At 36.5% G+C, this 25,051-nt stretch overlaps 1 protein-coding gene across 1 annotated transcript in view, besides 3 other annotated features; it reads right to left on the reverse strand.

Moving 5' to 3' along the window:
- The window catches only part of MACC1 (MET transcriptional regulator MACC1), an 82,730-nt gene that overhangs the window by 42,024 nt on the left and 15,655 nt on the right, over window positions 1-25,051 (reverse strand). The gene's annotated exons all lie outside the window — the stretch shown is intronic.
- Window positions 22,673-22,722: an enhancer, noted in NCBI's record as "active region_25686". NCBI's record gives its function as "activates an Ori minimal core promoter by ATAC-STARR-seq in GM12878 lymphoblastoid cells {active_cell/tissue: GM12878}" and the evidence as "EXISTENCE:reporter gene assay evidence [ECO:0000049][PMID:35858748]".
- Window positions 22,753-22,852: an enhancer, noted in NCBI's record as "active region_25687". NCBI's record gives its function as "activates an Ori minimal core promoter by ATAC-STARR-seq in GM12878 lymphoblastoid cells {active_cell/tissue: GM12878}" and the evidence as "EXISTENCE:reporter gene assay evidence [ECO:0000049][PMID:35858748]".
- Window positions 24,939-24,988: an enhancer, noted in NCBI's record as "active region_25688". NCBI's record gives its function as "activates an Ori minimal core promoter by ATAC-STARR-seq in GM12878 lymphoblastoid cells {active_cell/tissue: GM12878}" and the evidence as "EXISTENCE:reporter gene assay evidence [ECO:0000049][PMID:35858748]".

Genomic DNA, 25,051 nt, shown 5'->3' on the forward strand with positions numbered 1-25,051 from the left:
GTCCTTCAGTGAGTAAATGATTTAAAGAACTGTGTTACACCCATACCGTGAAATATTACTCAACCATAAAATGAAAGAAACTATTAACACATGCAACAACTTAGATACATCTCAGGCATTATGCTGTGTGAAACAAGCCAGTCGCATAAGGTATGATTTCATTTACATGACATACTCTAAATGATAAAATTATAGTGATGGCGAGCAGATTAGTGGTGCCAGAGAATAGGGATGGTGAAGGGAAGAGGAGTGGATGTAACTATAAAGGGGTACCGCAAGGGAGATCTTTGTAGTGATGAACTGGTTTTGTATCTTAATAGCACTGGCAGTTATACAAATCTACACGTGATAAAATGTCAAAGAGCTATACATACACACCTTGTACAAGTGTCAATTTCCTGGTTTTGATATTGTGCTACAGTTATGTAAGATGGTCCCTTTAGGGGAACTAGATGGAAGGTATATAGGATTTTGTACTATCTTTCCAAATTCCTGGGACTCTATGATTAGTTTAAAATAAAAAGTCAAAAAACCGGAAATACACAAGCACAGAATGTCTGAAATTAAATAACAAATGATAACATTTGGCCTGAAATTTGTCTCTTTGTATCTAATTATATCAACTTTTTAAACTATGCTGTTCAAATACACTCTATTCTTGTAACTATTTTATACCTGTTTAATTTTTAAGTTTCTGTTGATGTGATAAAATCTCCCACCATGATTTTGAAATTGTCTCAGTCTCTTGTAATTCAGTCAGTTTGTGCTTCCTATATTAAACAGTTCAGGGCTTTGCTGTTAAACCATATAAGTATGTGAAGGTTATATTTTCTTAGGATTTTTTCTTTGTTTTTCTCTGGTGTTTCTCTTTATCCCTATAAGTGCTTTTTTGTTCTAATTTATATTTTATGTGATATTAATATTGCTATACAAACTTTATTTTGATTATTGTGCTTTACCATTTTAACGCACTTTTTTCACAGTTTAATATATCTGAAATCATGATGCATATGCAATTAATTTCAGAATTTAGCTGCCTTTGTTGTTTTTTTTTTTTTGGTATTATATAAAATAATAATGCATCTTACAGGGGAAGTCATAAATCCAATGAAATAAAGTATTTACCTGACATATTTTTTCCCATCTTCTTATTTCAACCATTTGACTGGTTGTCCAGCCCCAAATTGTTGGACTTTTTTAAACAATTCACACTGACTGGCAGTCTTCACCTTTAAATAGTTGAGTTCCATCCCTTTAAAATCATTTAAAAACATGATTTTTAAATTTATCTCCATTACCTTATTTTGTGTTTACTTTTTTACTTTTATTTATTTCCTCCTTCTATTAGATGAATAAAATGTTCAATAGCTCCTCTTGTTCCCAATTCCAGGTTTTTAAACTCTACACATTTTGTAGTAAGTTTTAAGATCTCAGTTTACCTACTTACTTATAAATATTCATAAGAATGTATAAATTTATTTTATGTTTCTTACTAATACTCTAAAACAAAAAATGATCATAAAAATATCTGCTTATTGAAAAATTTCACACTATTATTGCTGCCCAGAATGTTAATCTTATTTCACACACACACACACACACACACACACACACACACACTCCAGAGAATAATTGATTCAATTTATGCCTACATTTTATACAATTCTGTGGTCATCATTATTCTTATGTTCTATGCTTTTGTCCTGAATTAACAAGGTTTACAGTTGTATACCTTCAACATTTTGAAGACATTATTTCATTATCTTTCGGCATGTATTAGTGTTGATGAGACAGCTTCAACAGTCTGGTTGGTGTTCTTTTGTAGGCAGTTTTTTATCATTCTGTTAAATTTTAAAGAACTTCTCTAAATTCTTGAGAGTCTTTAGTTTCACTATGGAGTACACCTATGCAGATTAACCTTTTTGTTTTTGTTTTTTTGAGATGGAGTTTCGCTCTTGTTGCCCAGGCAGGAGTGCAAAGGCGCGATCTCGGCTCACCGCAACCTCTGCCTCCCGGGTTCAAGCGATTCTTCTGCCTCAGCCTTCCTGAGTAGCTGGGATTACAGGCATGCACCACCACGCCTGGCTAATTTTGTATTTTTAGTAGACATGGGGTTTCTCCATGTTGGTCAGGTTGGTCTCGAACTCCTGACCTCAGATGATCCTCCCATCTTGGCCTCCCAAAGTGTTGGGATTACAGATGTGAGCCATCATGCCCAGCCCAGATTTACCTTTTTTATCATGCTAAGAACTCATACCTTTCTTCAATCCTGAAAAACATTCAACTATTTTCTCTATCCTACTTTCTCTGGATTTTTTTTCTGGAAATCTGATGAAATGAATACTCTTTTCTTCAGATTTATTAACTTTTATGAACTTTTATCTTCTTTTGCTTCGTGCTGTGTTCTCAACAAATAAATCAGTGCTAATGTCCAATTTGTTGAGGTTTTCTTTTTCCATATATTAGGTTTCCATTACTATGACTACATTTGTCAATGCTAAATATTCTCATCAGTGCTTTTTCTTTTCCATTTGTCCTTTGAATAAGGTCTTGCTATCTTACAGAAAAAAAAAATTCCATCATTTAAAATCTGACTGTTTTCAGATTATTTTATATAATTAATTCATTTTGATTAAGTCCACTTAATAATTATGGCTGTGTTAGATATATTACTCAGCATTCTATTTCTTCAAATGTTTCAGAATTTTGGTTTCCAAGGTCATGTTAATTAGAAGGTATTTTGTCTGTTTCGTTTCTCTCCTCAATTCTGTGCTCTCTTCTCTCTGTCCAGTGGATTTCGGTTGCCTCCATTGGGCTTCTTAGGTCACTAAATGGTATTGCTTCTGTCCCATGATGGTATTCGATATATTGCAGATCCATGCAAAAAGCCTGGTGAACAGTTCAGTTCCTGATTGGAGGCTGTTTCTGAGTATTTTCCATTTCCTAGGCTGCTTCTTGTTAATATCTGAAGCCCCACACAGAAGCCAGCAGGAGTTGTTGTTTTTTTTGTTTTTTGTTTTTTGTTTTCAAAAGGCTTCCAAGATTTGGGGGTTAAGGGTAGCTGACATCAACCAGTGGTTTCAACCAACAAATAAGATTCTGGTCTTCTGTCTCAAACAAAGATCTTTTAAGACTCAATCTACTTACTAAAGCCAAAATTCAGCTCCCACTCTTGCTTTCACACACAAAGTGTGGTAGGTCTGTGAATTCAATCACCTTATCACACTGTATTTCTGCTCCAATTCTGCTCTATGAATTGTCAACTGTGCTTTGGGGCCCAGACATTTTTTTCTATTTTACTATGAGCTGTTTATTGATATTTTTAGGAGAGATAAAAGAGTGTCAAAACCTGAAGCTGCTCATCTTGATCAAAATTCTGCTAAATTTTTTAATTAAAAAGTAAAATTCTTGCCTTGTTCAGGAGAGAATATACTTATTCAATTCAGATAATGATAGAAAGTATGTTCAAAAATATATAGGCAATGGCCAGGCATGGTGTCTCATGCCTGTAATCCCAGCACTTTGGGAGGCCGAGGCGGGCAGATCAAGAGGTCAAGAGATTGAGACCATCCTGGCCAACACGGTAAAACCCCGTCTCTACTAAAAACACAAAAATTAGCCGGGCGTGGTGGCACGTGCCCGTAGTCCCAGCTTCTCGGGAGGCTGAGGCAGGAGAATTGCTTGAACCCGGGAGGAGGAGGTTGCAGTGAGCCGAGATTGCGCCACTGTACTTCAGCCTTGCGACAAAGCAAGACTCCATCTAAAAAAAAGGAAAAAAAAAAGAAAAAAAAATGTATAGGCTTAAATTAGCAAAGCATATAAATAGCAAAATAGAAATATTGTACATAAAACTAGCAGTTTAATTGATTAATAATTCTAAAGTGTGCCTGGGCGCAGTGGCCACGCCTGTAATCCCAGCACTTTGGGAGAACAAGGTGGGTGGATCACTTGAGGTCAGGAGTTTGAGACCAGCCAGGTCAACATGGTGAAACCCCATCTCTACTAAAAATTTAAAAAAATTAGCCAGATGTGGTGGTGCGTGTCTGTAATCCCAGTTACTCAGGAGGCTGACACAGAAAAATCACTTGAATCCGGGAAGCAGAGGTTTCAGTGAGGTGAGATTTCACCACTGCACTCCAGCATGGGTGACAGGATGAGCCTGCATCTCAAATAACAATAATAATAATAATAATTCCAAAGTATGATTCATTAAGAAGGCAAATATAAATTGGCAAATGTTTATGAAATATGTATAGAAATAAAGGAAACTAAAACAAAATCACAGAAGAATATAACTACAGATTCTAAGAACAATAAATGATTTTGAAAAAGCATAAATGTGATTTTAAGCTAATAAATTTGAATGGCGATACTAAAAACTGTTCTAAGGATGTATGTGCTCTGTGTGTGTGTGTGTGTGTGTGTGTGTATAATTAACATTTACTTATAAAGTAAAAATTCTCAATGTACACATAAACATGAAAGAAATAGGACTGCCAGCTAAAACTATGTTCTAAAACTGACCTGGACAATTTGATTCCATATCAGGTTCTAACAAAACTTTTAGTGATAAAAATCTTACATTATATAAATAATATGTATTACAAAGAAAAATGGAGTCTTTGTAACAAGCATTATATTGATAGAAAGGACAGTTACAGTATAAAATATTGTAGTGAAATTCCACTGAATATTAGATTAAATATTATACATAAAATATTAACAAATAAAACTTATAAGTGTATTACATGAATAATACATATTAACGAAGTTAGGTTTGCCAGGAACAAATGACTGCTTAAGCATTTGATAATATATTCATGCAATCATTGTATTAATTTAATATGTAAAAACTATGATTATCTCAATGCATTCTAAAAAATCATTTGCTAAAATTCCATATTGAATTTCATAAAAATATGCCAACAACCTAGAAATAGATGAAAATTTTTATCTGGTAAAGAGTATTTGCCATAAACCTTTCTCTTATACCACAATTAATGATAAAATATTAAAAACATTTGCATTTTAAAAGGTACAATGTAATGAGATTCCATATTACTGTTAATTTCCTTCACAGTAACCAAAGGGCTCATAACCAGTGCAATGAAACAATAAAAATAAATTAAAACATAGAACTTTCAAAAGAGAGAGAAAAAATATTATTTACAGACTGTATGATGATACTCCTAACCAATTCAAGAGAATAACTGACAGATTATTAGAACTAATGAGAAGTCTAGGAGGTCAAATAAAAGATAAATAATAAAAATTAGTGATAGACTGGATTAAGAAAATGTGGCACATATACACCATGGAATACTATGCAGCCATAAAAAAGGATGAGTTCATGTCCTTTGTAGGGACATGGATGAAGCTGGAAACCATCATTCTCAGCAAACTATCGCAAGGACAAAAAACCAAACACCACGTGTTCTCACTCATAGGTGGGAATTGAACAATGAGAACACATGGACACAGGAAGGGGAACATCACCCACTGGGGACTGTTGTGGGGTGGGGGGAGGGTGGAGGGATAGCATTAGGAGATATACCTAATGTTAAATGACGAGTTAATGGGTGCAGCACACCAACATGGCACATGTATACATATGTAACAAACCTGCACGTTGTGCACATGTACCCTAAAACTTAAAGTATAATAATAATAATAAAATTAGTGATAAATCAATTTGATAATATGGAGACAAAAGTGACTCCATTATGGCTGTTAACCCACCATGTTGACTTCTGATTAACTCCAGTCCCATGAATGCCTCCTGATTCCTATTTGCTGTTCTTAGTGTAAGAACATGTCAACCTTAATATTATTGCACAAGTTACAGGATATGATGCACATCGCATTCTTGCCTATTCTGAAGGGTTGCCTTTAATTGTCTTGCTGGACCATATATACCCTTTCCTACTGTATATAAACCCTGGGCCTGGGAACAAACAGTGCGAAGAGTTGCCTGTCTTGCTACCGTCCAAGACCATGCTTCTGTTTGTAAGTTTCCCCCATAAAACACCCAATACCAACAACCTCGATTTGTCTTCCTCATTCTTTGGTTTCTGGGCTCCTTTGACACATGGGAGTCACTTTTCATATATGGCCCTTTCACAGAATAGACAATGTAATGAAAAAAAATCCCATTAACAATAGCAGCAATATCTACAATACACAATATTTACAAAAACTAATGGGAAATCTTATGTAAAAACAAATTAAACTGTAGAAAATTCTTATTCTGTAAAGATCTCAATTTTTCAAATTAAACATTTAAATAGAACTTAATTGAATTTGACGAGTGGGGTAGCCTGAATTCTAAGATCACCCCCAGTGACTCTCAACCATGTCAATCCCCTCCTGTGAATGTGGGTTGAATCTGCTATTATGATAAGATGCCTCATCCATGATTACGTGACATTGTATGGCAAAAGGGAATTTTTGGTGGATGTACCCGACTTAATGAAGTAGGCCCTTTAAAAGCAGAATCTTCTCTAGCTCGTTGCAGAAGAGGAATTCAGAGATTAAAAGCATGAGAAGAATTTGACAAACCATTGCTGGACTGAAGACTGAGGGATATGAGCAGCCTCTAAGAGCTGAGAGTGGCCCCTGGCTGTAGTTGGCAAGAAAACAGGGACTTCAGTCCTACAGCTGCAAGAAACTAATTCTTTCCACTAACAAAAACAATCTTAGAAGCAGATTTTTCCCCAGAGCCTCCATAGGAGAATTCGGTTCAAATGACACCTTGATTTTGGCCTTGTGATACCTTCAGCAGAGGGCCAAGCTTCATTGTACCAGACTTCTGACTTGCAAAACTGTGAACTAATGGATGGTTATTGCCTTAAATCTCTAAGTTTAAATGGTAATTTGTTTTGTAGAAATGGAATCTAATGCAACAAGATGCTTTAACATTCATCAGAAGGAGAAATTCTCCACAACGTATTTTTCTTGCTTTCGTTTCTTTCCCTGTAATATCCTAATTCCAACAGTTATTCAAGTCAGGGTCCTTCAATACCTGATTCTAACTTTTTTTTTTTTTTTTGAGGGAGAGTCTCACTCTGTTTCCCGGGCTGGAGTGCAGTGGCATGATCTCACCTCACTGCAGCCTCCGTTCCCGGGTTCAAGCAATTCTCCTGCCTCAGCTTCCCAAGTAACTGGGATCACAGGCGCCCGCCACCATGCCCAGCTAATTTTTGTATTTTTAGTAGAGACAGGGTTTCACCATATTGGCCAGGCTGGTATCAAATTCTTGAACGCAGGTGATTCATCCACCTCAGCCTCCCAAAGTGCTGGGATTACAGGCATGAGCCACCACACCTGGCCCCTGATTCTAACTTTTAAGGATTATTCCTCACTTCATTGGGTCCTTCTTGGCTTCCTTCATCTATTTAGATTTTAAGTTCCAACACTGTAGTCATTTGCTCTCAACTCTCAAACACACTTAAAAAAATTATTTCAATAGCTTTTGAAGCACAAGTGGTTTTTTTACATGGTTGAATTATATAGTGGTGAATTCTGAAATTTTAGTGCACCCATCACCCAAGCAGTGTCCCGAGACCACTTTTATTCAGTCATACTCATCTGAGAAACCCCAAGATTAACAACATCTAACTCACTACCTTTTGCTGAAATTTGTTGGATTTAAACATGAGCAGCAATCTCAATTGTGCCCAACAAAGAATACACCAAATCTTATATCCTTCTACCTAACTCACCCTCCCAGTCTCTGCAACAATTTTCTCATATCTTCTACTCTTATTTCAAACTTGCAAAACTCCTTTTTTCTTTCTCATTATCAAATAAACTCTTAGCTAACTACTTCACTAAAAAATAGAAGCAAGCAGCAAAGAATTGTTATAAATTTTCAACCTATCTAATAAATTTCTTGCATTTATATCTGTATAACTATACTCATGCTATTTCTTGGGTATCTGTTCAGGAGAATGGTACACAGAGGGAGAAAAATATAATTCAGCTCCTTGTATGTTAGAAATGTTTACCTTTTGTCTGCCGAAATATTTTCACTGATTAAACAACACTCTTTACTCTTAACTACAAAAATTTTTCTTTGTGTAGGAGCACCATTTTCCAGCAATATTGATGAAACATTTGAAAGAAATGATGTAACTTTTCCCAAGGAAAGTTTATTCAAAAGGAAACTGGAAGAAACGTCTTTTACAATATTTCATATTATTTCTTATTTTCTTTAAAGGTATATTATAATTGATTTTATCATAAATGTATGCAATTTAAACATTATTATACTAAGTCTTAGAGACGAGAATATTCTCAACTTGAACTTACTTCAGGTCAAAGATTCTTTGATTATGATTCACAGAGAACTTTTCCTTTTTAATCGTGAGGGTAGAACACACGCCATTACTTTTCAATCTCCTGGTAAGATTGTGAAGAATAAATAATATCAGTTCTCTCTAAGAGGTAGAAAAACTAAGCCTGAATTCCTCCCAAAATTGTTATTTGTTATTTGAACAGAGGCTTACACTTTGCTATCATAAGAACACATAAGAAAGATTGCTCTTTCAAATTCTATCAATATCCCAGCCATTTCTGCTTTGGAAGCTTTTAAAAGAATACTTGAGATATTTATTCTTGCAAAATCTATCTTCCGGTATTCAAACAACATCAAAAATTGGCATTACAATTACCTAAACCAAGGAGGCATCAACTGAATGAAATTGACATGTAATCATAGAAAAGAGACAAGAAATAAGGAAAACTCTTGGGATTGGGTTGGACGCCCAAGCTAAAAATGAGATGGTGCTTACAAAGTTTATTTAAAAAAAAAATTTTTTTTCTTTAAACAGATTTTAATTTATAAAGAAATATGAAAAAGAAAATTTTCTGCTTTTTTATAAAAGGAGGAGGATAAAAATAGAGAACAAAGTGAAATCAATTACTTTTAATATTTTAAAATCATTACCTATAAGATAAGATATGAGAAAATAAAGAAATTGAAAACATAAGAAATCTGGCAAAAGTAAGGACGAGACTGTCCAATGTACGTTAACTTAAATCTTCAGAAACTTACAATAGCTAGCAATTACTGGTCATGCTTTGTGCAGGCAGGCTTCTAAATGCATGGTATCTATTATCTCCTCTAACCCTCACAGTAATGCTGTGCAATAGGTAACATTATTGTCTACATTTTGCAGTTGGGGAGACTGAGATACATAGAGATTAATTAACCTACCCAACATCATCCCGGTAGGAAGTAAAGAAGACAAGAGAAAAATCCCAAGATTCTTGCCCCAGGGTCCACATTCTCTATGACTACTCTTTTGACTACACACAAAGTCGCATATGGCGAATGTCCTTGGACCCTAATGTAGAAAGCCTTGAGTAGGCTCTTCTGAAGGAATAACTACAGAATTATCGCCGAATGGACAGAGCTACTATTACATTTACGATAGAGTTCCAGTTCAGTAAAGCCTAGCTTCTTGGCTGCACAAGTTGTTTTTCTTCCTTACTTCCTCCTGTTACCTTTCCATAACCTCTTATAATCTAAAATCATCTTTGATTGTTATGAGGTGAAAGGGACCTGCTAACTGGGACACTTTCCAGGTTTTCTAATACAAGTAATGTGAGGTATTTATGACCAACAACATTCTAAATAGGATTGGATACTTTCAACAGAAAAATTGGTCCAATAATATGTTTACTAACTCATACTAAGTAATTAAAAATTACAGTATTGTTATAATCACCAAAACAATAATAAGGCTTTGTGAATGTATGGCTTTTGTCATAATAGGGCACCATAAAAAATGTAGCATAATATTGAAAAGGTAAAATAATCAAATAAATAAACGACAGCCAAACATATTAAAAATGGAAAATTAGTCTATTATAGTTAAATCCACTGGAATAATTATTAAAATACTATGTGGAAACTGTGACAATTTATATAAATAACAACAATGTCTAAGGAATTAGTTTGAGGAACCTGAATTAGTCTGTTTGAAAAAAAAAGGAAGAATGAACTTATAAAAGATTCCTTAGGGAATATAAATAACACTTTTTGAAAACCTAAATATAAAGATGTTAATCTCTACACAATTTTAATACCCAAACAAATTAGTATAAATAACCTGTAATGTAGACAAAATTAATTATAAAACATCCTTCACTGGAATATTACACAGTCATTAAAAATAATCTTGACGAAAGTATTTAACAGCATAACGTATGCTTAGGAGAGTATAGTAAGAAGAAATAACTTAAGACATGGTACAAAACAAAATACATAGAATAATTACTATCATGTTTTATAAAATCAGATGAAAAGAAACAAGACTGAAATGACATAAAGGAAGTCCCTAACTTACAATGGTTCAACTCACAATTTTTTGAATTTACAGTGGACTTATTGGGATGTAACCCAAGCATAAGTGAAGAAGCACCTGCATTCAAAATTATTGCCAGTACCTGTAAACACATGTAAATGGTAAGACCATACTAATTTTGTTTTACTTTTCTATATTTTCTAATTTTTAATGAGCATACATTATTTCATATTAAGATATTATTTTACATAGAGAGGACAATAGTAATAAAATTGTAACTAGTTTTTAATTAAAGAGGGATAGGAATACATTTAATGAAAAACAGAGTGAAGAGGAAACCACAACAGGAACAAAAAAATTCTTAAAATTGTGGTAAACTCTAATATGAATTAATATTTCATGGGAATCCTTTGATTCTAACAATCCTTTCACTATACAGGACCAGCAACCTATCAATCTGACAAACTTCTTGTCCTTTGCCTGCCTTTCCCACAAGCCTTCTCCCTCTTCCCACAGCTTAAACTCCAAGGACAGTCAGAGTGACCTTCGTGCATGCCCCTTTACTCCCTAAACACTCTATTAGTTTCTTTGACTAGCTAATGGAACTACACTTAAGACCTTGGTGAAATTGAACACTCTGCCCAATTATTGTAACCCAGAAGCTTCTTGGAACTGAAGGAAAGCACACAATCCTACTGATCAGACTTGCTTTCAATTTGGGGTTGTTAACCCCAGCTGGGCTCTTCATGCTGCCAGACAATGCAACTTTATGTTTCTGGTACATACATCTCCCTCTCCCTTCTTGTGGAATCTCCAACACCCTTCTCTGTTGTCATTTGCCCCTGGTGACCTTGCTTCATATTTTAGTTAAGAGGAAAAAACTATCAGAGAGAATGAATTAGTCCATTCTCACCCTACTATAAAGAACTGCCTGAGACTGGGTAATTTATAAAGGAAAGAGGTTTAATTGACTCACAGTTCTGCACGGCTGGGGAGGCCTCGGGAAACTTACAATCATGGTGGAAGGGGAAGCAAACACATCCTTCACATGATAGCAGTAAGGAGAAGTGCCGAGCAAAAAGGGGGAAAGCCCCTTATAAAACCACAAGATCTCCTGACAACTCACTCACTATCTCAAGAAGAGCACAGGAAAAACCATCCCCATGATTCAATTATCTCCACCTGGTTCCACTCTTGACAGGTGAGGATTATTCCAATTCAAGGTGAGATTTGGGTGGGGACACAGAGCCAAACGATATCACAGAACTTCAACCTGGTTCTAACAAAACATTCTTTTGACTTCCTGTATTTGAACCCCTTTGCTTGGATTTCTTTCTCATTACTGTGGGTGAGCTGCCCGTGCTATCAGCCAAGTCTCACCTCTCAACAGGACTAGCATGTCCATTCCTGCTCATCGACTCAAAGAAGTTGTAAAAACTCTCTTGCATCTCTCTAGCATTACAAGTGTATTTTCCTCTATTGCACCTTTTCTATAAGCATAAAACATCAGGATGCTTTTTACATCTTTAAAGAAAAGTCAAACAAACCTGTCTTTGCCTTTCCTCCTTTCTTCCTTCTCCAGTTCCCACCCCTTCCCTTTACAGCAAAAACAGGCACACACACAAAGTACTTTCTCCCTTTATCCAAAAATATTTTTCTTCTCTCTCTCTCTAACACCTTCTATTAATTTTCACCCATTCTCCACTTTACCAAAAGTGCTTTTATCAAGGTCACCTCTGACATTCTATTGCCAAAGTCACTGGTAAACTCTCATTGCTCAACATGCTTGACCTGTCATCATGCGAGGCAGCTTATCACTGTCTCCTCCTTAAAATAGTCAGATTATATTACTTGGGTCATATGACTTGTCTGTTCAAAATCTTGTAATAGCTTCCTTTCTCAATCAAGCAAAAGCTAAAGTTATATAGCCTATATGGCTTTATTCTTTAACATCTGGCCTTGTTTCTTGTGTGAATTCATCTGAGATCATCTCACGTAGACTCTAGCTGCACTGGCCTTACCTTTCATTTCTTGAACACAGCAGGCATGTTCTTGCCTTAGGGCCTTTATACTTGCTGTCTTCTCTGCCAAAAACACTCTTTCCCCTGATATGTGTGATGTCTTCCTCATCATCTTTAGGTATTTGCTAAAATATTGCCTTACTTATGAGGACTTTCCTGGCCTCCTTATTTTTTAAAAAAAATAATATACACTTCTCATTGTACTTCTCTGCCTTATTTTTCTTCATGTTACTCACAAAATACAATATGCTATATATTTGACTTATTTATTTTATGTCCTATCTCACCATACTAGAATGCAAGCACCAAAAGAGTGACAATTTGTTTATTTATCTGTTTTGTTCACTCTTGTATCCCCAGAGCTTAGAAGAGTTTCTAGCACATAGTAGGTGCTCAATAAATAATTGTGGAATGACTGTTGCATAAATTTCATTTCCCCTTGAAAACTGAGAAAGAAACAAATTACATTAATAGAATAAAAGTCATTGCGGCAAATCAATGGAGGTTTGTAAAGATTTCCTAGGTGATTTGCAAATCTAGTTCAAATGTGATATATACATAGTTTGCCTGAATGGCTTTCCTGAAAGAAATGCCAGCAACAGTGTGAAAGCTCTGGAAAGCATAACCAAGAAGTAACATACTTAAATTCCACCATCTCTTAGTTCTAGGCCAGCGTAGGAGCAGGAGAAAAAATGGGGAAAAGAGACAGAGACAGACAGACAGACATACACAAACACATAAACACACACACACACACACACACACATACACAGAGAGAGAAAAAAGAGAGAGAGAGAGAGTAAAAGAAAGACTTAGCTCAGGCTTCTGTAACAAAACACCTTAAACTGAAAGGCTTAAACATTTTTTTCTCACCATTTTGGAAATTTAAAGTCCAAGATCAGGGTGTCAGGTGGGTGAGGTTCTTGGTGAGGGCCCTCTTCCTTGTTTACAGATTGTTGTCTTCTTGCTATGTTTTCATGTAGTGGAAAACTCTGTGTCCTCTTCTTAGAAGGGCACTAATCCTATTCATGAGGGCCCCACCTTCATGACCTCATCACTTCTCAAAGGCTTCACCTCCTAATTCTGTCACAATGGAATTAAGGATTCAACATTTTGGACTGAAGGATTCAACCATTCAGTCCACAATGGAAAGCTATCCAGTGAAGTACATGGGACTCTGATTTCTATTTTTCTTTACTCCAATCCCTGTGACCTAACACCAAACCTATTACCTTTGTGATAGTCACTAATGCCGTTTCTATCTGCTGAATATCAAAGATAATTGCAATCATGGCAAAATAAATGTTTAATTTTGAACAGTTTTCCTCTTAGCTTTCTTTTTTCAAGACATTTGATCCTAATCATTTATTTTTTTAGCATTTGTATGATATCTAATAACCACAAATTAATTAATAAATTTTTATTGAATCTTGACATTAAATGAAAAACTTTCTCAATATAAATTTAGTGGAACTGGCAAATGAATATATGAGCCAAGGCATAGCAAATAAACATTTCTCTTTGAGGATTCTTGTTCAAAACAGAATTAGCATTGGCTTTTTCAGTTCCCACAGCCTGCAGAGATAATCCTAAAGCATAAAAATTCTGGAGCAGTTCATGGCTTTAAAATGGCAACAAAGCCAAAATTGGTTAGTTTTTATCAAACGAAAAAAAATGGAAAGGTTTTCATCACAAGCTCTTTTCCTAATAACAGCCCACTTTTTCATTTTTGAAAGCCTGCCTGTGAACTGTTAATGACAGAATAATCAGTGGACATATTCCTGTGACTTCAGCTGTTATAAAATGCAACTTGACATTGAAAAGGAACATAAGTATCACTCCCAAGAATGTTTGCTTTCTGTTTTGTAAAAATACAATCTTTCTTTGTGAAACACAATTGTTACTATGTACACAGAGCATATAAACAAGGGAAGATATTAAAAACACAGAAACAAAGCACCAGTATTTTACAAATGGCTTGCTGATATAATCACCATTCTGTCACACTACTTGCACTAATCTAAGCATTTTTTCTTAGTGGACATTTTACTCATATCTGCAAAAGACTAGCAGTAACATAGCACCTACTCTATCACTCCGAGTCCAGTAAGGCAGTAGAATCCACATGAGGCATTTCAAGCAGAGGGGACTATTTACAAAATGTTTAGAGGCTGAAAGATCAAACAGCAGAATGTGAAATAACCCAGCTATTAACACCTGCAGGATGCAGTTACTATCCCCAGGGCCAGAGAAACAAAAGGGAAGAGGAAGTTGTAGAACCCATGGGCCTACTTGCACTTCTGAGGTGTCTCAGGAGGTCCTGGAAACACAGGAGGGCATACCCATGTTAGTTTGGGGAGCATGGATGGGTGCCAAGCAATAGGTGCTTGGACAGCTGGGATGAAGTGTGTTTTGCAGCAGTCTGGAAATGCAACCTGGCCCTACGTAGCTGGCGTTGGAACTGATGAGGAGGTGCTGCTCTGTAGGAGTTGGTGCTATCAGTGGGTCTCTGCTTACAGGTGCTGGTATAGCCAAGGGGAGTGCCACTGGACAGGGGCTGGAACCAGGGAACAGTCGCACTACGGGCACTGAAATTGCCGGAGGATGCAGGCATCCATAGCTTCAAGTTGTTGTGGAAGGAGGCCCAGAAGCTGGAAAGGAGAAGTGAGTCACGCTTTCTCTCGTCTTCATTTTATCCTTCCCTTTCCAGGACCTCTCACTGGCAAGATCTAACTAAAATACGGCTGGCAATAAAAATTTGGAAAGGTAATCTGTGCGGTATCAGAAACCTACAACACATAAAAGAAGAACACAGGACAGAAATCGACGCTGAAGGCAAGGAGGTAAGTGGCTTGCACACCTACTGTCTTCAATGCCAGTTTTTCTGTAGTATTTATTTAGGACGACTATGCCTAAAGTTGCTAATGGAAATTTGATATCCGTTTTTTATCATCTTGCTAAAGGATCATAATAATAAACGAATAAATAAGATAATACGATGAAGGATGAGGATATAAAACTATATGTAATATATTTAATATAACTCTAAGTTAGTGACTTTAAGTCTGTTATTAAAGAAATTCTGACTTTTCAATGTTAAGTACGTTTAGTAGATTTATGCAAGTTATAAATTAATATATTTTCTTATTTTCATGAAACCATGTTAATGCTCTACTTATATCTTTATTATTCTTTCAAATTCCAATATAGGGTATTATTGAGCAGGTAAACAATTAAGGAAAAAGAAGAAAACAATTAGGGAAAAAATATCACCCTGTGGTTAATGATAGCCTCTAATTCTTTGCTATTCTCATTGAAATTGCCCTTGAATCTAGACCAGCCATTGTGATTTGCTTAACTAATAAGATATAGGAAAACCGCTGTTCACAGATTTCAAAATCTAGAACTATTGCCCTAAGATCGTCACGCTGGAGAGACCATACAAAGGAGCTCTGCTTGTCAGTCCCAGCTAAGCCCTGACTTCTAGTCATCCCCTCCCAAGTGCCAGAAATGAATGGGTACCCATCTTGAACTTTCCAACCACTCCATCTGGAGCCTAAGAACTACAGTCTATATTAGGCCAAGTAGAAGAATCACCCAGAGAATCCCTAACTAGATCTCTCAGCCACCAAATTGTGAAATATAATACAACCATTGTTTTGAGCCACTAAGTTTTGGAGTAGTTTGCTATATAGCAATAGATACTGAAACATGGCCTTTTAAACAAAGAAATGCACACTGAAGCAAATTATTCACATTAAATGTAACCAGATTAAGTTGTGCTACACTTGCTGAACATAATTAAATCAGAAAACACGGTACTCATGAAGATTCAGGGATGAAGTACTCATCCCGTACTGATGAAATTGAAAAGTACTACAGGATTTGAGGGAATGTCTTTGACAATGTGAATCTGACACCAAGTGATCTTATGGCTCCTCACTGTGATGAGTCCCTTCAAGGTGGAAAGTTCCCTAGCGATTTATGTTTATAATTTCATATTATTTTTCTTAAGATGCCCCTGTTGCCAAGTGGTATAAACTTTAGGCCCCGCAAAATAGAATCTGTCCCCAGAAGGTATACAATAATATCATAAAACTCTTCTGGCCCTTCTCAGTAATCAGTATTTTCTTCAAGAAAATAAGAGGAAGGGGACAGCTATGTTTATAAAACTCTTTATCAGAGAATCATATATAATAGAAAAATAAACTGAAAATAACCTAAATGTTTGGTAATGGATGAATAATTAAATAAATTATAAGCTATCAACTTAGGGCATGATGTCACCTTTATAAAAAATGGTTACAAAGTTTCTAACAACATGAGAAATTGTTTATAATGTGACTAAGTGCAAAAGCTAATCTTGAAAGTTTATATAAACTGTGATTACAGTATAAAAATGTATATATTACAGATAAAACTTGGAAGGAATTTTGAAGAAGTGAAAACAATTATGTTGAGGTGATGGTCATGAGACACAACTTTGCTCTTAGTGTTTGTTTTTCAATTCTCATTTCTCATCTAAGTTGCATCCTGTTATAGACAATGGTAAGTGATGCAAGCTTTTTCAGAATTCAGCTTCTACGATCTTATAAGAGACACCCTGTCAAAGCTGTAGCTAAACTAAGGGAATGACTGCCATGCCCAAAGCTCAGGAAGGCAGGCCTGGTTGTAGAGGGCCATGTCCCACTTTGTAAAATGTGGAAAAATAAACATGTCATTAGGAAGGTAAACTCAGACTCTTGGGGAAGTTTGGCCTCTTTCTATTCCTTCTTTTTTTTTTTTTTGTCTCATGAATGGCAAAGTAAAACCCTTAGGAGCCAGAAAGCAAACAGCTGACATCACTGTTCTCCAACCCCGGCTCTGCCATCTTTATTCCCCCGCCCCCACACACACCTTTAAGAAGCCATGTTTAAAGAAAACATTTGCTATTTTAATAATTTTGTGGATATGCTAGAAAGGTAGAGCAGAAACAGCAAGATCTGGAATTTAGGTAAGGTTTGTGGCCAGCGGTTCTCTGATCTGCGGTGACTCCTCACTTGCTGGGAGCCTCCATGTCTCCATCTGTAAAATGAGGGGGTTTCCACCACAGAACTACCCACATCCTATCTTGTCACCGTTATCTGACTCAGTTGTCAAATACGATGGAGTCCATTTGAAAAGCAGAGAATTTGGGAAGCCATGCTGCTCTGAGGGGTTTTTGCCGCTTTTTTTATATCCTAATTTTAGATTATAGAATCTTGGATAATAAAATTTTAAGCAATAAAAAGAAAAGAATTAAAAGGAAAGCCAGGTTCTGACACAGAGATCAGTGATGTCAGAAGGCAGGGAGCCCAGCTTGTCTACTCCACTCCAAACATAGAAAACATGACCACAAAGGAGTACTCCCCTGATGTGTTTGTTCTTTCTAGTTTTCATTAGAAAGAAACACACGAAGAGGCATTTTAATCTGCCCCCATGGCAGATGTGTGAAGAGCCTCACTTAAGGAGGCTTCGCTCCTTTCATGGTACCCTTAAAAGCTTACACCTGATTCACTCAGCTGCTGGCTCAGCCTCAACCTCTTGGCCCATCCATTAGAGATCCAGTGAAAAGCTATTAAGCAAATCCATCTCAGGAATTTTACATTCATGCAAAACATCATTTTGCTGTCTTCTTGCAACAATAAGGAAAGGCTGTCTTTCAACTACGTCTTGGTAATGAGAATTTAAAATTGCCTACCATGTAGTTTCCATTAAAAGCCATCTCAATACTAAAAGAGGATATGATAGCCTTTCACAACTCACACTTCTCCTAGTTTTATGCCTAAATCAATTGCAATCAAAAGGCAGTTTTAAAAATAGAGCATGTTACTTCAGCCTCCTAACAAAATTGCCTTTATAGAGTGATGGCTTAACACTACTTCCTTGAATTTTTTCTCGTCATAAAGATGAGATGTGGAATTTGCCTAAATTTTTAGTAAACCTCTAATCAGAAAAAGCTTGCCCATTATGTCACACATTTTCCTTCATATAAAGCCACATATAAGATATTCTCAAAGTCTGGGGATAGGAAAATTTTTTTCCTCCTAATCTTAACGTTTTCTCTTATTAAAAAAAAACAAGTATCCCCTATGCTTTAAGTTTTACCTTGATTATCAGGGAAACTTGGTCTGGGTTTTGTGTGCAGTAAGTTCTCACATCTCTGATTTTTCTTGTTTGTTTGTTTAATATAATTATGCTCCTCTTCCAACCCGCCGTACCTTGCTATTATTGCATGAAGTTGTTAACTTTAAAAACTACAGGATTTATGAGCTTAGAAAGGAGACTTTATTTCTCATAAAAGATTATAGCCTTCAAGGTGGCCATTCCACAGGCTGAAAAGCATAGCATCCGACAAAGACCAGAGACAGCTACTTCAAAGGAGGAGGGTTTAGACAGGAATTTAAGTTGAATAAATTAAAGTAACATATGTATTCAACAGTCTATAGGAGGAGCTGTTAATATTCATGAAGGGGGTCCTGACACATGCGTATTGAGCAAATATTCGTATATATGACCCATGTTTACCTTGGGGTAAAGATAACATTTAAATGTACTACAATTAGGCCCTATACATCAAAAGGTCTTTTTAGGACACAAAGGCACACAAGTGTGCAATCTATGGTTGGTTTTTTCATCAGGAGAATGTTATTGAAATCAAAGCTGTAGTTATGGCTTGTGGAACAGGGGATCAGTTAGCTTCTGTGAGCTGGATGTGTTGTCATTATTTTAATACTGCTCATCTTGAGGCCAATGCTTCTTTAGCTGCTAGAAAAAAAGAAAAAACTTGTTGCAGCTAGAACATAGTTTATTCCTGAAGTGTAGGGGTGTGTGACTTAACCTTGCCTGGCATGGCCTTAGGTCCTGTTTATAATTAGGTTGTCTTATTGCCATGAAGAGTCCATTCTGTCAGTCTTGTGATCTCTATTTTAACATTAATACTGGTCAGTTGTCGTGTCTAAACTGCAAAGGGATGGGGTGTAACAAAGCGTTTCTGACCTCCTGTCTCATCATGGTTGGGAACTCAGTTTTCAAGACTTCTCTGGGGTCCCTTTGGCCAAATGAGGGTTTGTTCAATCTGTGGGAGGTTTAGGATTTTATCTTTAGTTTCCAAGGCTTAGCTTTTATTGGTAATAATTTTCAGGTTTTTTTTAAATTTTATTTTATTTTTTTGAGATGGATTCTCGCTGTCTCCCAGGCTGGAGTGCAGTGGCGCCATCTCGGCTCACTGCAAGCTCCGCCTCCTGGGTTCACGCCATTCTCCTGCCTCAGCCTCCAGAGTAGCTGGGACTACAGGCGCCCGCCACCACGCCCGGCTAATTTTTTGTATTTTTAGTAGAGACGGGGTTTCACCGTGTTAGCCAGGATGGTCTCAATCTCCTGACCTTGTGATCCGCCCACCTCGGCCTCCCAAACTGCTGGGATTACAGGCGTGAGTCACTGCGCCCAGCCAACTTTCAGTTTTATTGACTATATACTTTTGTAATTAGGTACATCCAGTCACACTGGAGAAAGATAGTGTATAAATTTATAACAATGGGCCGGGTGCGGCCGGCCCATTTTATATATATATATAAAACAATGTATATATCTGTATGCATGCATGTGTGTATGTGCTCTATGTAATATATATTATCATTAATTGTCATAGAAAAACATCTTTAGAATTAAAAAGAGCTTAGCGATCATTTAAATTGTTCCAAACATATATCTATCATGCATGGAGAACCGGTTTTCTCAAATGAAATATGCCCCAAAACTTAAAAAAATAAGGTTGAAAAATAAATAAAGCAAAGTTCCTTTGGCTGAAAGGTAAAAGGATCAAAGCCCACAAACTTCACCTCGCAGCCACTCACTTTCACTGCAACAGAGCATTCTCAAGTCACCCCACAAAACCCCTAATTTTCTATGGTACACATTTGACTACTACCAGTCAATTTTAGTCATTGTCTTTTGTAAGTTTGAAAAATGACATACGATGAAGTTGCAAATTATCTATAAACATTTACCTAGTGAGTGACCAGGTCACCCCACCAGAACTCAAATTCCCTGATTTCTAGAAGTTTATTTTTGTCCAAATAGAAAGGTCCATCCCAATGTTGGCTGAAAATTAAAATTCTGGTCTTTGAAAAGAGTTGGGCTATTTGGAATTTCTGACAAAAACTAAAGAGAATCTAAGATTTTCCTAAAGTCAACAAGTCAGTTAATATTTTCTCTCAGGCCCAGCACTGCCATTTTCCCTCCTCCCAGGCCTATGTGCAGCAAAGGCCAGCCCTCCCTTCTTTTCAGATTTCCTTTCAACTGCTGCTGTGTTTGCCTATTCCCTTGGAATCTCTATTGGATACCAATTTCTTGACCCCTCCTGGGTAAAGAATCACATGGCTTTGTGTTTTTTGTATGTTAAATAAACTTAGCCAAGATAACAATTTTGTGGAATCTTAGTGACTATTTGTTTTTCTTTCTCGAGCATTTTTACATGTTGTCCTGGCTTTAGCTTTTAACATTATGGATATCAAGATCTCCTGTCTATTTAGTAAAGCCTGAACATGTTCTCGTACGCCTACTCACAATAAACTTGGACTGAATTTATCTGAGAGTGTGGCTTATTTTGCAAACACCTCCAGACAAAAACTAACTAAAATATACTTGCATGATGAACAAAGATTTCAGACAAACTCTGCATAGATCACGGAAAGTTTAAGAAGCCCTATTTGAGCTTCAAATTTCAAAGTCATGATTTATAAACTCAATTTCAGGTGAAACAGAAAAGTTTCAATCACGTATTTATCATGACTTAGTATCATGGCTTTTAGGAGAAATGTTTCCAAATCTACCATGTATTGTTTTTATTTTTATTTTTATATTATACAGGCTTATATTGTTCACTAGAAAATAGGCTACTTCATTTATAGAAATATTTTATGTAATAAAAACCATTTCAACATGAACAATTTCAATGATCCTAAGAGGAAAATACCACCCTCTGGTGGTGAAACCCTTAAACAGCAAAGGCCTGGGGGCAGAATGCCTCCAGTTACCACAGTGGCTAATCCAGGTGGTAAAGGGAATGACAGGAGGGTCTGATGTCTGGGTATTGGCAAGAAATCTCAAGAAGACCATATCATCTGGAGATCCCTGAGGGCATGTGATATGTGGGTATGGAGGAGAGTAGTGGAAAGAGAAGCAAACCATTACCAAAGAGATATTGATCAAAGCAATGTTTTATCCCCTTTCATGGGAGCTGGGAAAACCAGGCACTAAACTGGTGCCTAAGTAAAGTCCCAGGGGCTTTTCTGAACCAGAATTAGGCATCAGATCCACAGACAGCATGGGAGATCATAGAGGGATAAAGAGCCAAGCATATCATGCTAGTCCAGGATATAAACAATGAACAGAACAGGACTGCCAAAAACTAGAGTTTAATGGATGTTGGTCTCCTAGTGGGCAAGAGAAGATGAAAGGGGATCAATTGGCCAATGTAAACATTTAAGGCTTACCAGACAAGTAAACATTTTGTCCAGGCTCCACCCTTTGATTATTCAATTGTATCTTGATAAGCTCCTGGTCTGCCCCTGGTCCAAGCCTCCATTCTGGAGCTCTCCTTTTAGATCTCAGCCTCGCCTATAATTTCTTCTGTCGCTTTCTAACAAGGCAAGATTTTTACAGGGTTATCAATTTATAAGCCAAAATTACTTGTATATTTTCTAATTAATTCAATCTAAAGAATAAATCCCATGCACCACAAGGAGACTTGATGTAGAACAATTCCTTCAAATCAGAGACAGAATAGGACTAAAAAATAATAATAGTAACTTGAATTGGCAAAACAATGAAGACTCAATGAAAAAGAGAGATCCACCAAGGATGCCTAACAAATCTTTTATCCACAGAAGAGTGGTGCTGAGACTGTGCAGAGAGAAAGGCTTGTCTAAGTTAATGTTACAAAATACTTCTCAAAATGTAAAGGTCTATGTAAATATAATATTTTATGCGAGTGTATTATTCAGCTGCCAGTATGTAAGGAGAATGGCAATAATAGTAATTTGAATTTATGGAGGGCCTATCATCTTAGACACTTGTGCTTTTGAAAGCCAGCTTATTAATCCTCAGGACTATCTCAGGAGAAAAGCAGCCAATGTTATTAGCTCCATTTGCAGATAAGAAATTGAGACAGACACAGATTATGTGGTTCATACAAGGCTTGCACAAGAAATCTGTGAGGAGAAGGAAAAATTATTAGCTACTAAGGTAGAAATGTGATCCACAGATAAAGAGTTGGCAAGGTTTGATCTTCTCCTGTTCATACTCATGGAAAAAGTAAGCATTGTCCTAGCCAAAGCTATCTAAAGCAATATTATGTATATTACATGGAGAAGGGACCTGGTGTGTGTGATAGTACTGGAGGCTTCAGTTCAACCCAGAAGAAAGCAGCGAAGCACTCAGCTTGCCTTGATTGGCAGAATGGATGCCTTGGCAACCACTTGGCCTGAAACCAACCTGCCCTCTCCAACACCACTATCCTCCACCCACACCCTTGTCACATAATCATCAGGAAGGCATGCTCTGAAATAAGGATGAAATGACAGAATAAGGAAGTCTTCAAATGAAACAGGAAGCACACAGAGAGAGCAGAGCACTTACTAACATGAAATTAGAAACCAAAGTGAATGAAGAGGAACTCACAGAGGTGAGTCAAAGAGTACAGAGTCATTCAAAAATGTTGATGAAGAATTCACTTTAAATCTTTACCTTTTTCTTGTTCTTAAAGTTAAGAAAAACTTATTTTTAAAGTAAAAACAGATATCTTAAAAATAAATTTAAACAATAAAATTAAATGTTCTATAAAATGAATCAATCAGAAAGTAGTGAGTTATACATGCTTTTATAAAGGAAAACGACCTTGCAAACCAAGTTTTAAGGCTCAAATGAATTAGCCAAATCCTATACAATTATTAACAAGATAGAGAATAAAGATAAACAAGTGGCTATACCATTATGTGTGTGTGTGTGTGTGTGTACATATGTATGTATATATACATACATATATATGTATTTCCTTTTACAGATGAAGATAAATAAAATTCATAATAAAATATTTATTCACAATAAACACCTAGGAGTGTGTGGGAATAACAGTTTTATTGGGGAAAGGAAATACAGGGGCTAACTGAAAAAACACGAAGAATCTTTTAAAAGATTACTAGATTACTAGATTTAAAAGATTAGTAGATTTAAAAGATTTAAAAGATTACTAGATTACTAGAAATGGACAGTTATAGATAAAGAGATAACAGTTATATCCCTCATTAACAAACACTATTAAGTTATACTTCAAAATACTGATAAATACCAAAGAAAACACACGATGACTTCCAAGGAAAAAAGAGGTTACTGGGAGACCTTTGATATCAGTATTTCCTACCAATTTACTGGTCATAACGACAAATCCTGGAAGAGAAAGTAAATTGTTGTCAAAATTTAACAGGCAAGAGTGCGTAGGTTAATTACAGGAAGTTTTTAGTTTAGGAAACTGCCAAACTCATCACAAGACATGAGAGACAGAGTGATGTAATTACCTAAGAAGGGGGATGAAGTAATGCACTCAACCATCAGCACCTGATTTCTTTTTTTGCTGGAGCCAGAAGAAATCTTTTCACTGATGCACAGTCAGATACCTGAGATATCCCCCACAACCCCAGCTAGAAACATGGGTGCTATCTAATCCTGGAAGTTTCTAAGAGCCATTCAATATTTTCATGCCTATTCTCTGCTTCCAGGCAGGGTGGATATCCAGTAAGAATACCTGAGTACCATACACTGGCCAGCATCCATTCTGACAGGTCAAGTGTCCATGCCATACTCACTGCTGCACATTTTTAATATCATTTTGCATTCAGAAAAGTATCAACCTAAGCCTACCAAGGAAGTGTTCCTCTCCCTATTAAAAACTTCCAAGATGACTAGGTGTTATTTGGTGGGATGGATTTCTATTATTATGTTTTTTAATTTTAAAAAATATTCTAAAGGGAGAGAAGTGGTACTATGTCATCTGAATTGGTGAATCAAATTTAAGTGAATCTCATTGGTGAATGAGAGCTGGTCACACTCAAAAGAAGGATGTGACACAGTCTGAGGTTTTAACTAAAGAGAGGGAAGAAAGAAGCAGCAGGATCATGCAATACAAGAGGCCAAGAGGGGCTCTCAGACTGTCCCCCCCATGGACTAATTATGCAGAATTTATGAAATGGGTTCTGAAGGTTGAGCTATCTGGGTTCAAATGCTAGCTCCACAGTGAAATTTGTAGGGAGAAGCAGGATGAAGTGCTTCAGGTAAAAGGAAAATGATCCACAATGGTGTAAAAACAAGAGTGAGCAGAACTCGTTCAGAAAGCAGCAAGCACTTCAGTAAGGCTGAGGCATAGCAGTGGGGTAGGGGCAGAGGCAAGGATGGGGGAGGGGCAAGAGGGAAGGATGCAGAGAAAGGCAGAGGCTGGTCATGACATACTTATAACACAGACTGAGGAACTTGAACTTTAGCCTAAAGAAGACGCAGAGGAGTTTAAGTTCAGTCAATGACATGATCTCATCTGTGATTTACATTTCAGGAAGGTGGAAAGCAAAAGTTGAAGCAGAACTAGAGACAAAGAGCAAGGGCAGTGGCCTGAACTAGGAAAGTGGTTGTAAGAATGGAGAGAAGTGGACA

This window comes from Homo sapiens, chromosome 7, assembly GCF_000001405.40.
Source record: "Homo sapiens chromosome 7, GRCh38.p14 Primary Assembly".
NCBI lineage: Eukaryota > Metazoa > Chordata > Mammalia > Primates > Hominidae > Homo > Homo sapiens.